The sequence below is a fragment of the Homo sapiens genome, chromosome 1 (assembly GCF_000001405.40).
Source record: "Homo sapiens chromosome 1, GRCh38.p14 Primary Assembly".
Classification (NCBI taxonomy): domain Eukaryota; kingdom Metazoa; phylum Chordata; class Mammalia; order Primates; family Hominidae; genus Homo; species Homo sapiens.
The window spans coordinates 220,320,854-220,335,890 of NC_000001.11; positions in this window are offsets into that span (position 1 = coordinate 220,320,854).

Here is a 15,037-nt window from a genome sequence, read left to right on the forward strand (position 1 = left end):
CTAATTTAGACAAAACTTGAAGCAAATCAGTGATGAAAGAAATCCTGCTAGCTCAGCAATCTTCCTGTGGTACTTGTGTGTGTGTGTGTTTGTGTGTGTATGCGTGTGTATATTTGTGTGTGTGTGTGTGTGTGTGTGTTTTCACTGTCCCCACGGTGGGACTACCTTGACCTCTGAGAGCTAAATCCTTTTAGCATGGCTAAATGATAGGTCCCTGGATGAGTCCAGTGGCCTTGTTCAAAGCTGGTTTCTTTGCTTCATTGGCCTATAGTGAAGTTCCTGGAGAACACAATGAAGTCTCTGAAGTATTCTTTTGCCTTGAGAAATACACTTATTCACATATTCCAGCTCCATTTAGACCTGGAACAGACTTTAGAAATGATCCAAATCATTTTCTCTCCTATGGAGCTGATGGTTATAGGGATTATTAGTGAAACGTTCAGGGCCAGACCCCAGGGTTCTTGCCACGCAGTAGTCAGTCTTTGGTGACTTGGGGATTGAGTTTCCCCTTCCTGTTTTCTTTTCCCCTTTGCTTTTTCCTGTTTATTCAAACATGAAGTCTTCATTATAGAAAAATTGGAATGTATAGAGAAGCATTAAGAAAAAAAGATAAGTAGGAGGAAGGGGAGGAAAATGGAAAAAAACGAGGAGAGGGAGGAGAAGGAAAGGAGGAGGAAGAGAAGGAGAGAGACATAAGGAAGGAGGAGGAAGAGGAGGGAAAGAGAAAGATGAAGGAGGAGGAGGATGAGAGAGAGGTGGTGGTGGTGATGGAGGAGGAAGAGGAGGAAGGCAAACAGAGTTGGAAATTCCCTGGTGTTTCTTAGCAGATGTGTTACAAAGAAAAAATATTTCCCTTGTGAACCCAAAGGAGGTGGGGGCGATGGTTTCTCTTGATTCTCCTTGCTGGAATGAGATGATTTCCACTTGGCACACTTGTAGGGGTGTCCCACATGGAGGGACTATGCATAAATCTGTGTAGTGCTGGGGTAGAACGTACCATCCCAGGGTGCATGGGTTAAAAGCCTTAGGACAGGCCAGCAGGAGGACCCTACTCTGTCCTGGTGCTGTCATGGGCAGGACCTTTGGTGCTAGGATTGGAGGCAGGTTGCATCGCTGCCTGTGGCCAGCTTGGGACACCCTTATGTTCTCATGCCTCCAAGTGGTCAGGGCAAAATAAGCAGGTCTTGACGCGCAGATTTGTTCACTCAAGTAAGTCACCATGTGGAAACGTCCCTGGAAGCAGAGGAGTTACCTGCGGAGTAGGCTTGTGTTCTGTTCTTAGGTGTGCTGGTGCCTGGAATACTTGGGACAACACGTTTGGTTGGTGTCTAACGTCTAATGCTCTCTTCTCTGCTTGTGATGATCATCTACTAGTGGGAATAGATTTGCACAAAATCACCCACAGTTTCAAATAGCCTCTCTCTTGCCCAGGTTTTTGCAAGCTGGCCATGACATAGAGGAAGACTAGCCAGCTCCAACACTCAGTCTGTCTTTGATCTTGGACCCAATGTCTCAGGGTTCTAGTTAGCTGAATAAAGCATTCACACACTTAACGACAAGTGTGGGTTCACACACCTCACTTTTCTGCTACCCCTCTCTATTATTTATTATGGATGGTTATTCCCTTAGTTGTGAAAAGTAGGATTTATCTCCGCCATTCCCCAAGGTAAACAACTCGGAGATTCATTCCTAGGGGCACTCTCAGTTCCCCCACCATCCTCATTTGCTTACCAGACTCAAGATGCACTGATCTTCTTTCATATCCTCAACACCAGACTCCTTTCTGCCTCTGAGCATTTGCACGTGCTGTTCCCTCTTCCTGGAAGGACTGCTCTCTGTATCCCTCTTCTGTGCATTCTAATCTCTTGCTGCAGTGTAAGTATTAATTACTTTCAGGAAAGTCTTCGCCCACATTCTCAGACTTGGCCAAGTCTTCATTTGCATGCCTCTGTTGATTAGCTTTGTATCACTTCTCACTGAGAAGGAAATAAATGAATATTGTTAATTTTTTGTTTGTCTCAGATATTTTCAACAGTGGTGCCTTTGCAGCACAGATCTGCCTGTCTTCCTCTCTCTTATGCCCAGTGCTTAGCCCTGGGTCTAGCAGGTACTCACAGTCACTGGGATGGAGGTACCTATGGTAGGGGGGCAGGAGGTAGCCACAGCTCTCTGATCTTCCTCTATGACACATCAGTAGGTCTGCTCTACCTTGACAGAAACCATATAACGATGCCACGTGCAAAATTAGCACTCCTTCAGTTACTCTGGAGAAACTAGGTGTAGCTCTAGAGAGGAATTTTTCAAAACCTCTTTTTTTTTTTTTTTTTTTTTTTTGAGATGGAGTCTTGGTCTGTCACCCAGGCTGGAGTGCAGTGGCGTGATCTCGGCTCACTGCAACCTCTGCCTCCTGGGTTCAAGCAATTCTCCTGCCTCAGCCTCTCGAGTAGCTGGCATTACAGGCACACGCCACCACACCCGGCTAATTTTTGTATTTTTAGTAGAGATGGGGTTTCACCATGTTGGTCAACATGGTCTCAAATTCCTGACCTTGTGATCCACCTGCCTCAGCCTCCCAAAGTGCTGGGATTACAGGTGTGAGCCACCGTGCCCTGCCTTAAAACCTCTTAATGCCTAGATGATGTAGCTGAAGAAAACTGTACTTGACACAAGACAGGGATGTCCAGCCTTGTGTTCATTAAGCCTCTTTTTCCTTATAATAATTCTAATGCCTTACTTTGCGTAACAGACTTGATCTGGTTTCTAAAACTATTTCATGAACATTAGTTTATTTTATTTACATAAATATAAGTCTTTCACAAGTGTCGTCTGAATCCCAGAAAGCAATGCTGCTTTTATTGACCAGAAAAGTCTTACAGGGAGAAGGCAGGGGTAGAAAGACTGGAGAGTTGGCAAGGGGCTTAGGCTGTGGTAGCTTCCACCAGAACCTCGGGATGTCCCTTTGGTTCTCTCAACCGTATCTGAACTGACACTGGACTCTGGCGAATTTGTGCCAACAATATGTTCATTCTTAGTTGAATATGCAGGGAATGTGCCTTTGCCAAGGTGTTCCCTGTTACAGAGGTCAGACTGTACATTCTCAATGTTATTCGTGGCAATAGCAACAATAGATACTGTTCCTGGGCACTTCACAGTGATTATTTCACTTAATCTTCACTACAGCTCTGACAGGGGAGTGGTATTATCCCAATTTTCCATATGAGGAAACTGAAACAAAACAAAGCTAAATAATTTGCCCAAAGATCCATGGTTAGTAAGCAGCAGAGGCAGGATCCTAACCCAGGTCTTAAATCCTCTAAACTTACAAACTCCTCCCTGGCCTCACAGCTTCCCACTGGATCTTCTCTTTTTTGCTATTTTCGTCCCATTCCTCAGGAGCTTCCTCCTGGACTATTCCTGGAAAGTCCAAATTCTTCTTTCTTACTTTTCTTTTTTCTTTTTTTTAAATGTGTATACATCTTGTTTCTTTACTAAGCAAAGCTGAGCAGACCCTGCAAGAATCTCAGGAAAACAAGAGGACTCTCCTGTCATAGATCCCTCTGCTTTAGAAAGCAATTGTGGTAGTTTATAGTGTGGTTGTTATTTTTCTCCTTTACACACACATTATCTCAATATTCAGTATAACCCTATGAGAAAAGTATTATTATTGTTCCCTTTTGCAGGTGAGAAAATAGTCACAAAAGAATAATTTAGGCCAGCATGGTGGCTCACACCCGTAATCCCAGCACTTTGGGAGGCCGAGGCAGGCAGACCACTTGAGGTCAGGAGTTCGAGACCAGCCTGGCCAACATGTTCAAACCCTGTCTCTACTAAAAAATCCAGAAATTAGCTGGGCGTAGTGTGGTGCATGCCTGTAATCCCAGGAGGCAGGAGAATTACTTGAACCTGGGAGGTAGAGCTTGCAGTGAGCCAAGATTGCACCACTGCACTCCAGCCTGGTTGACAGAGCAAGACTCTGTCTCCAAAAATAATAATAATAATTGTCCAAGACTGCAGTTTTTAGGTAGCGGAGATGTAATTTCTAAACACATCTATTTGACTCCAAAACAACTGTTCTTCTTTGCTATCCTCTTATGCATAATCTTGAAATGGCCCAGAAATTCTAATATTTATATTTCTAAATCCTGTTCCCCTCAATGGACACCTGCCCTTGGGAGCTATACAAAAATCCTTTTTCAGACCACATGTCTTGAGTTTTGGTTAGAGAAACAAGGTCAAAGACAAGAAGCTTTGTGTCCAGACTCTCCCAGGAATGAGCTGATATTCCTCCCTGTTCTTCTTTAGCGGTGAATTTCTCCATTTGGCAGGTGCCCCAGCAGGAATGATGGCTGGTGGTCTGGAGTGGCCTTCAGCCCCTTGGTGAGCCAGGCTAATTGCAGCTTCAAGGGAGTGCAGCCCTTTCTGAGTGAGCAGATATAAAAGCCACAGAGGCAAACAGGCAGCTGCTACTCTTTATTTTATTTTTATTTTATAGCAGTCTGGAGGCTTTAGTGGAGAGGGCAGGACTCAGGAAAGAGAACACATGATGGGCACTAATGGGACCACTAAGGTGCCTCCAGACTTTGTATTTCCTCTCTTGTGGTTTAGCTTCTGCTGTTGGGTTCTCACAGCCCAGAAGCCACGACTCAGCAGGGGTTACTCTCTCAGCACAGCCCTTTCTTGGTGAGGGTGAGTTCAGCTATGGGGAGACGCTCCTTACATTTTGTGATACTTGTGGACGCTGCCTGACAGATGTTCAATCAGCATTTCCAGCAGGCTGAGTAAGGAGCTTGTGCTGAGAAATGGCTTCAACACACCAAGCACCCAGTCCAGCCCCACACAGCAGGCCATCCTTCCCTGGCCTCTTCTTCCCTCACCTTTTTTCAGATCCAGGGGAGCTGGAGAGCCAGTCAGCCAGGGAAACAGTCATCTGAGTCATGTAATTCCTCTATTTGGCAATTATAGGGATGATATTCCCAGAAAGGCTTGCAGAGACACCAGTCATACATTTACCTTAAACTGCATGGCCATGTGCAAACAGCAGAAAATCCACTGGAAATCATAATTTTATCATGGTTTTGGTTTCTATTTTTAAATGAAGAATAGTTCAATTATTCGAAGGATTTAAATGAAGAATAGTTCAACAGTCATCGTCTCCCTTGCTCTCCTATAACAATACAGGCAGCTTCAATATGTGTCAAAAATGTAACCCAAGTCCCTGGTATGCTTTCTACGCCAGATTATTTACACTGTGGGTGATAGAAAACATCCACTTAAGAGTTAATGCCTGAAAGACAGGTCCATCCAGTGGGTCTTTCTTAGAGTTGAGGGCATTAAGGAGCAAGAGCCCTACTTAGACTAAAACGTGGAGCGTGCAGTAACCTCTCGAAGGTGACATCTTGAAAAAGACATGGCGGCCTTGGAAAGTTATCACAAAGTGATAACTGCCCTCTGGTTTTGATCCCTGCAGTCTAATCATGGATTGGAAATATCTGTGGATGTCAATGCTTGCAGACCAATGGCCTGTGAGAAGAATCAGGCACAGTGGTCACATATTCTGGATTCCCAGAATAGTCCCATTGTGGTAAACTGTTCAGTAAAAGTTGTTCACAAAATATGGAAGTAAGGTTCAATTTGTCCTCATGAGAACTTTCAAACGAGAAAAAATACACCAAAAATATAATGTTCTTAGACCACTGGGTTGTATTTTCAGTTTCAGTAGGTCCAAGTCTGACAGGTGAGGGAACAGCTGTTGCCTGGGCTCTGGATGGAGAGGGGCGATGTGGGTTGCCTGGGAGCCATCCCAGAAATCTTTTTGAATGAAGCAGGTTTAAGATTCATTAGAATGACATTGCGGCAAGCAAGGTGGAGGTCAGGCCCAGCCCAGGGAAAGTATGAGCCACATCCCTGAACTGACTTCCAGCTGGCCCTGCTGATCCTGCTACTTAGAGTTGCTGCTGAAAGCTAACTCTCTCTGTGTGCAGTCAATGAGTCATTCCTTAAAAATATATGTCATTTGCCATTTACTAAAATATATGCATGAGGGAGGGAGGAAGGGAGTGAAGACCAGTCAGACTACTCTCACATCAGCTTTAGGATCTGTTTTATTTTTTATTTTTTATTATTTTTATTTTTCTATTTTTTTGAGATGGAGTCTCGCTCTGTCGCCCAGGCTGGAGTACAAGTGGCATGATCTTGGCTCACTGCAACCTCTGCCTCCTGGGTTCAAGCAATTCTCCTACCTCAGCCTCCAGAGTAGCTGGAATTACAGGCATGTGCCACCACTCCCGGCTAATTTTCGTATTTTTAGTAGAGACAGGGTTTCACCATGTTGGCCAGGCTGGTCTTGAACTCCTGTCCTCAGGTGATCTGCCCGCCCTGGTCTCCTAAAGTGCTGGAATTACAGGTGTGAGCCACCACGCCCGGCCTAGGATCTGTTTTATACATAAGTACAACCCAATATTCTCCTGATCATTCAGCCTTTCCAGGAACATCCAAGGGAGGGAGCCCCTTACATCACAAGTGAACAAACTTCAAAGATTTGATGACAGTATTTGAAGAGGAGTTCAAGCAGACATTCGGAGATGAGGAGGAGTAATAGGAAGCATGGTTAATAAACCTCTGAAAAGAGATTCAAAATATGTATTTTGTAAAGCAGGGTCGTCGCAGTAAACAAGGTAAAATACACATCTGAAAAGAGATTGAGATATATTTGAAAAAAAGAGAGTCACAATATTTGAGCTGAAGGGCACAGGGGATGGAGAGAGTATTTACCAGGTTTGTTCATTGATTGTGGGGGAATGGGGTGCTGCTGTCTCTCATCAGTCCCACCTCTTGGGATGTACAAATCCACACATGTATACCTGCTTATTTATTAAGGTATAGTGACACCTTTCCAAGGATTGTGATTGTTACTTTTGTGATAAGTGACTCTAGAGGGTATGAAAATGGTGACAGGCAGTGAAGGAGGGCTTTGGGTGGGCTGCTGAAGACAAGAACTGTGATGAGGCTCACATTTAGGACCTGAGCTCCCCCCACCCTTTTCTGAAAAGTGGGCTTTTTTTTTTTTTTTTTAAGAGCAGTTTTAGGTTTGCACAAAATTAAGCAGAAAGCACAGGAAGTTCCGGTACACCTTCGGTCCCCCACAAACGCACAGGCTTGTTCATTGTCACAGTGATGCACTGGTTACAGTCCATAAACCTGCATTGACACGTCATTATTACCCAGACTCCATAGTTTTCATTAGAGCTCATTCTAACCTCCTTATTTTTCATAAGGGGTATAAGGGGCAAGCTCAATACCAGGGTCTGCACCAGGTCCCTTTCCTCTTGCATCTTTCCAGTTTCCCTTTTCTAAAGCCCTTATGCTCCCAACAGTTCACTCAGTGCCTATGCCCCATGGTGTCTGAGATCCCCATCTTATGGCCTGCACTGTCAGGGCACGTCAGGGTTTGCTGTTGTTGTTTTCAGCTTCCTCCCCACATCAGAGCTTTTTATTACATCTTCTTTTCCTGGGAAGAAGTTCAGTGCTTTTCAAGGTCACATCTAGTTATTTATACTCAAATATGAGCTAAGGTGATAATGAGGAGTATTGGAGGCAAGAGAAAGGCATGGGAGACAAAGCTCATCCAAAGGAAGCATCCTCAAATTCTGTGAATTTCAAAAAGCAGGCTTGAGCAAGCCAGAGGGGTAGATATGTCTGGGCCGGCTGGCTTCGGAGTACCTTTCAAGTCGTACCAGATAGGAGACCACCTGTTCTACGTGTGCAGAGTGAGCCCTGCATTTTCCATCACTATCATTTTCTTCACTATTTTAGACTTAAAATGCAAGAAGTAGGATTGTCTGGAAGTAATCTCTCTCCCTCCCTCTCTCTTTTCTTCCTTCTTTCCTTCATTTCACAGGTGGGAAGATTAACAAAAAGCTCAATTCAGGTGTCCTGGGTTGTAGCTCTTCAGGCAGTGGTGTTGTGGTGATGTTTAACAACCGGTTTGCTGAAAAAAAAAGTAAGTTTACAAGTTTGTTATGGATTTTACTGATTTAAAGGGTGTGTGGCATACAAGTTATTACTAACAAAATACATAACATAATTCATTATAAATTCCAAGTAGCCGATTGACTCACAAAATGCTTTTGTTACTTTTTGCTGCTTTCATATATCCACAGCCAACCTATGGCTACAATCCCATTGTGATATGACAAATAAAGATGTACTCTTCAATCTTCTAAATCTTTTCCCAATAAAGTCATTGTCATTACATCTGTAATGTAGTCTACAGTTTATTTACTATTTATCACTCTGTTACAAATTACAATCATTAAACTGAGACATCTCTCAGTCCTACTAATATTTATAATGTATTTTCCTAAATAATAATTTGGTTAAGAACTGGCTTGCAAAATTCCTGACAATTTAACAACTGGCTATTGTGAGCAAAGCCAGCTCCAGCACACCTCTGCCTTTGGGGCTGGCAGCCACCTGGCTTGGTTCTCTTCACATCTTCTGCAGAACAGAGCTCGAATGTAGGACTTAGTAGCCAGAAGCAGGAATGATGTTTGCTCTCTGTGGTGCCAGGCCATGGGAAGTCTGCCGACATCTCCATAGCCTTACATTCTGAGACTCCTGGAAAGCACCTAACAGAACACACGGGGGCCTCTGGTTAAGAACTTGAGCCTCTTTATGAAGTGACACCACCTCTCACCTGCCATGTCCTTTATTTCCCAGCTCAGGCAGAGATGCTAAACCCTCTCCTTGAGGAGAAAGCATGGCTGGGAAGGGGAGAAGGTAGGAATTTAAAGCAAGTGCTTTTCGGAGTATTTTCTTCAAGCCTCATGTCTTTCTACACACCTGCTTGGCACAGCGTTAGTCATACGGACAGGGTGACTCTTCATGGATTGGCAGGACAATCACCACCCAGCCCCAGCCCATTTTCTGCCCTTCAGTCATTATTCTTCACCATCTAAATCTGGTTTGCCATGAAAACCAGTTCTGGGAGGTAAGAGTTTTTTTAAAAACCAGCAAGGCCTGTAAATAACATCAACACACACTGGGAAGAGGGAAGGAGAAGGGACCCAGATAGCAGTTTTAACTCTTTGTTTATTAATTTCTCATCTAGGAACTTGTAATTCTATATCTGCTTCAAGCGGAAGAAGCATAGTCTTCCCTGAGACTTCACTAAAGAGCACATGATTTCCACTTTCAGATTTTCTATTGATTTGGCAGAGTCAATTGTCCTAATGCCGAGTTTTGTGTTTTTGCCAGTCGGGTGGCAGTGAGTTGCATTTAATTTCTAGTATTGTTAATACTCTCATTATTATACTACAGCTTGAATAAGAATGAGTAGGAGACAGAGCAGGAATGTGTGTGCCAAGGAAAGCCATTTAAAAAAAATCCAGTTTTTTTTTTAATCGGGATTATTTTTTAAGGTAAAATTCACATATCATATAAGTCACCATTTTAACCATTTTAAATTGTATAAATAAGTGGCATTTAGTACATTTACAATGTTGTGCAAACATCATCACTATCTAGTTCCAGAAACCCTGTACCCATTAAGCAGCAGTCACTCCCCAGCCCCCTCTCTCCCTCCAGGCCCTGGCAACCACTAATCTGCTTTCTGTTTCTACGGATTTGCCTATTGTGGACATTTCATATAAATGGAATTACACAATATGTGGCCTTTTGTGTCTGGGTTCTTTCACTTTCGTAATGCCTCCAAACTTCATCCATGTTATAGCATGTATTGTAAGTTACTTTTTAATTAAAAAAAATTAAAAAAAAATTAAAGAAGGGGAAAATGTCACAGGCCAGCTTCACGTGGCTGAATATCATCCCCTTCTACCCAATTTTACTTGACAGGCTGTGAAATAATTGCCATTGCAAACCTCTGACTGGGTGCCTTATCCAGATCCCAAGGAAATGGGCAAAGGGGACTAAAAAAAATAAAGTCCATCTGTTCCAGGTGAACTATTTCTTAAGTTTTAGTTACATTTTGATTTGTAGCTGCTTGTGGACTTATGTTAGCATTGTGTTAACAAGATCTTGGTTTAGTAATAACTGACCTAGTATAGTGTCTCTTTAATTGCTTTTGTTTTCCCATAGTTTCAGGAAAGTAAAATACAGTCTTGGTAATGCAGAAATAAAGGTTACAAACGAAAACCTATGACCTGATCAGAGATGAAAAAAAATAATGAAGGTTTCTCTTAATTCGAGGGTAGAATTTCAGTGACTTTACCACCTTAGTAAAACAAGCTCTCCATTCTTGACAGTTCTGTCAAGGGAATAATATAATGAGAATGTTTGTCTAAACCTTTTCTGGGTTCTCTGTGCCTCATCACTAAAGTCTACAACAGGAAAAACAAAGTCGTTTATGAGGTTCCTGCCTATCCTTCTATTGTCACTTTTTCTTTAAGCTTCTTACTGGACCGCAAACTCTTTGGGGGAAGGATGTATGTCTGATTCATGTAACCCAAATCTTTGACCATTCAAAGGCCCTCATCTGTGTAATGATAGGACTTCAGATAGAATCTTTTTATGTTGCCGTATTAGAGAAATTAATGTTAGTTGCAGTAACAAACAACCTCAAAATCTCAGTGGTTTAACACAATAAATGTTTATTCTTTGCTCCCATCACAACTCAAAACAGTTCTGGCAGCTCCCCTCTAAGTGATGACTCAGGGATTCAGGCTTCTTCTATCAATGGAGCTTGCTGTCTTCTACAGCCTTTTTGGAGTCCTCTGCATATCATCTGAATTGAGCTGACCAGCAAACAAAGAGAGATTAAGCAGAGGATGCATGCAGATTTTAGGGTCCAGACATTAAAGTGTCTACACCCCTATATTGAAGGGTCTACATCCCTTCCAGTCATGTTCCCTTGGCCAATGCAAGGGAATGGAAGATGTAGTCATCTGTGTGCTCAGCGGAGGAAAAGGATATTGTTGAGCATCTAGCCAATCTCTTCTATAATTTTTCCTTTCCCTCAGGCATGCTCAGCAAGATGTGGGTGGGGGAAAGTTGTCTCATGATGGTTCCCAAGTCAGTCGTGCCACATCTATGACTCTGCTTTGCCTGATTCCAGACTGGCAAACTCCACTCTACCATGGACCATCATTCACTTCTCTGCAGGTCACTTGATGCAGTTCCAGAACATTCTACCTCCCTTCAATCGGTGCTGCCACCATAAAGCTGACCTCAGGATGAGGAAACCTGCGCCCCCTTTACCATTCCATATAACACCTTCTTTTACTTGAAGCTAAGCCAAGATCAGATTGTAATAAAACTTTACTGAAAGCTTCAATTCTGCAAGAGGAAATTACAATCTAGAGAAATGTAAAACTGATATTAGATCTGACTGTTCTCAGGGTAGACTACTGAGGCCTGCATAGTTTCTGGCCTGCCTCACAGTTGTAGAGGTCAGCTTTCTTCTTCCTACCATAGGAGGAAGACCTTCAGTATGTCCCCCCTTCTGCTGAGCCCCAGGCCTCATGTCCCCATATCCCCCAAAAGGTAAAAAGTTCCCTGCCTTCTGTGTCTTTTCTTTCTGATCTGGATCTGTCCATTCAATATGATAGGTTCTGGAAATTTCTATTTCCTTTAGGAAAAAGTGCAACCTTCAACCCATGGAAAGTCCTCTATACTCAAAAGCACAGTCCCTTTAGCGCGTAATAACAGGACATCGGTTGTTTTCTCAACTGAGTTAGAATAACACCACATAAGAGGCATAATCCATCCAGTCTAGGGCAAGCGTTGCTAAACTCAGTCCAGTTTATTTTCAGTTTTATTATCTGTTTGAAGTAACACCCATGCCTGCATATCCTTGCCACCATCTTGAAGTCTCAGCAGCCAACCTCCTTGAGCAATTGCATTTCCAAGAACAAGCAATAATTTGTAGGATGATGTGTGTAAGTTCATCTTTAGCCACCCTCTCCACAATGAAATAGAAGTTTCGGACCATGCAAACCAACTGAACCTTTTGCAGCTGGAGAGTTACAAACCGTACATCCCACAAGAGGGCCTCTGTTCATTTTTTTTTTTTAAGTCTAAGGCTCTTTTGATGACAAATAAGAAGACTCTGCTAAATAACTTAAGCAGAAGAGCAGATGTATGGAGGATTTATTAGAGGGCAACAGGACCCAAGAGCAGGAGCTGAGGCTGTTTCACAGGGACTTAAGCCATTAGCAGCCAGTTTCATTCATGTTCTTTCTCACTGTGCATCAGCTTCCTCTCTCACAAATTGCCCTCTGCTTGTCCGTGCACAAGGTGGAAAGAAGACTGCACAGTATCCAAGTTTATATTGCTTCAATTCAGGCAGCCATCATTAATTTGCAAATGTCTCTTAGCCCCATTTTTAATTCTATAGAGAAATTGGTTCATCTTACATGGCTACTCTTTATCTTATTTACTATAGCCAGGGAGAAAGTATCATGTGGCATAAATATCTGTGCCAGTGTGTACCTTGTAAATTGAGGTGTTATTTCTATGAAAATTGAGGATTCCAGGGCAAATGAATCCTTGTCCAAAGGTAATTTTATAATCTACTGCTGATAATACAGAATATGCTCAAAAGTTTCATCTAGGCTGAGGTGGGAGTATTGCTTGAGGCCGAAAGTTTGAGACCAGCATGGGCAACATAGATCCCTTCTCTACAAAAAATTAAAACATTAGCCAAGCATAGTGACATGCTCCGTAGTCCTAGCTACTTGGGAGGGTAAGGTGGGAGGATTGCTTGAACTCAGGAGTTCGAGACTGCAGTAAGCTATGATTGTGCCATGCTGCACTCCAGCCTGGGTGACCGAGGTAGACCCTGTCTTTTTAAAGAAAAACAACTTTGATTTGAGATTTTTCTGGATTTGATTATCTTCATTAAAGTGTCAGGGATCATCAGGTTCAAGTTTGGTTTGAAGCCCAAATTCCTTGTTTTTCCCCCTCCCTGTGGAATCCCTGTAGAAAGGAAACATCTTCCAAGTGTAGAGCCTCGGAGTTAAAGCTAGTCCTGAGATGACAGCTGGGAAAGGTCTATGTTCCACTCTCACATCTAGCTTCAGGTGTCTTGGTCCTTTTTTGTAATACTTGCATCAACCCCAGGCCTTGGGCAGTTCTTAGCACAAAGTAGGCCCTAAATTAATACTTATAGAATGAATGGATCATTGGTTGATTTGAACCATTCCATTTGCTGGCTTCCAGAAAAACTTCCAGTTAACTGGTGATTTGCTCAATGTCCCAAGCCTTTCTTTTTTTTCCATACTGTAAATCAATAGACTTTTAGTTGAAATTTTTTGTCTTTAGCTTTCTGGAACTTTCTTAACTCTCTTGACAAGCAAAATTGTTACTTCCTCTATGCTATGATACTAACTGGCTTACATCACATCATCAATAAATCTTTCATCATACTGAATTTCAGTTACTCACACTCAGATCTGCTTACCCAACTAGATTATTAACTGCTTAAGGGTAGGCATTCTAGTTCTATATGTCTAGTGCATGTTGAATGCTCAAAATATGTTTTGTGAAAGTATGAATCAATCAATCAATAAGCTATGTTTCCTGGGATATACCAGCCTTCAGGTAAAAACTGAGTCATTGTAACAATAATCAAACAGTTCTTCTCTGGATATGCCTTTTTCTTATTACACATCCCTCAAATTCTAACCAGATATTTTTTATACTGTACTGGAGTGAGTATTGTATATTTTCTCATATATTCATTATTTCACACACACACACACACACACACACACTTTTCTTTTGAGGCAGAGTTTCACTCTTGTTACCCAGGGTGGAGTGCAATGGCATGGTCTCGGCTCACTGCAACCTCCACCTCCTGTGTTCAAGTGATTCTCCTGCCTCAGCCTCCTGAGTAGTTGGGCTTACAGGTGCACACCACCACGTCTGGCTAATTTTTGTATTTTTAGTAGAGATGGGGTTTTGTTTGGCCAGGCTGGTCTCGAACTCTTTACCTCAAGTATTCCACCTGCCTCGGCCTCCCAAAGTGCTGGGATTACAGGTGTGAGCCACTGCGCCTGGACTATTTATTTTTTTGAGATGGAATTTCGCTGAGTGCAGTGGCACAATCTTGGCTTGCCACAACCTCCACCTCCCAACCTCACCCTCAAGTGATTCTCCTGCCTCAGCATCCCGAGTAGCTGGGATTACAGGCACCTGTCACCATGCCTGGCTAATTTTTTGTATTTTTTAAAATAGAGACAGGGTTTTACCATGTTGGCCAGGCTGGTCTCAAACTCTAGGCCTCAGGTGATCGACCTGCCTTGGCCTCCCAAAGTGCTGGGATTAAAAGCATGAGCCACCACGCCTGGCTACATATATATTTAGATGTCTGCTAAAGCCAAATAATATACCGGGGCCTGGGAATGCAGTAATGAGGATTGATGATGTTGATGATGATTATGATGATAACGATGATTCCTTTAGTATTTGAGAGTCTTAATAAAACAGCACTTCTCATTCCTGAGTTATGAATCAATCTAGAAATAAGCCAAAAGAACAGCATATAGAGTCAAAGTTGTAACATTTAAAAAATTACTGATAAAGCTTATATGGGAAAATGAGCCTTATATCTATGGCCAAGGGGTCTTCTGAATACTAACCCCCCAGAACTATTTAGGCTCACCCACTCAATCAAGGCAGTGATTCCTTACATGGTCTGTCCCCATGAGATCAGCCACAGACAAACAGAAAGTGTACTATCTGGGGGAAGGCTAGCCCCCAAGAGAGAGGGCAGGGAAGAATTAATTGATGGAACAAGATCCTCCTGGTTACCCCATGGCTATTGCAGTTTTCCTGCCAGCCTTGGTTTTCATCAGCCATCATTCTTATAACCAATACTGAAAGCCACGTTCCTGTTGCCAATATGCCTGGAAGATGAAGCCGCTGCTGGTGTTGGCCAAAGGCACTTCCACTGCTGTGATTGCCCAGCAACACCTGTGCCAAGGCTACTGATGCCTGGTCAAGGCGATAATGTCTGAGCTGACTCCTGTGGTTGCCAAAGTCAACAAAGTTGCTGAAGAAGTTGTTGGCACCAGAAGGT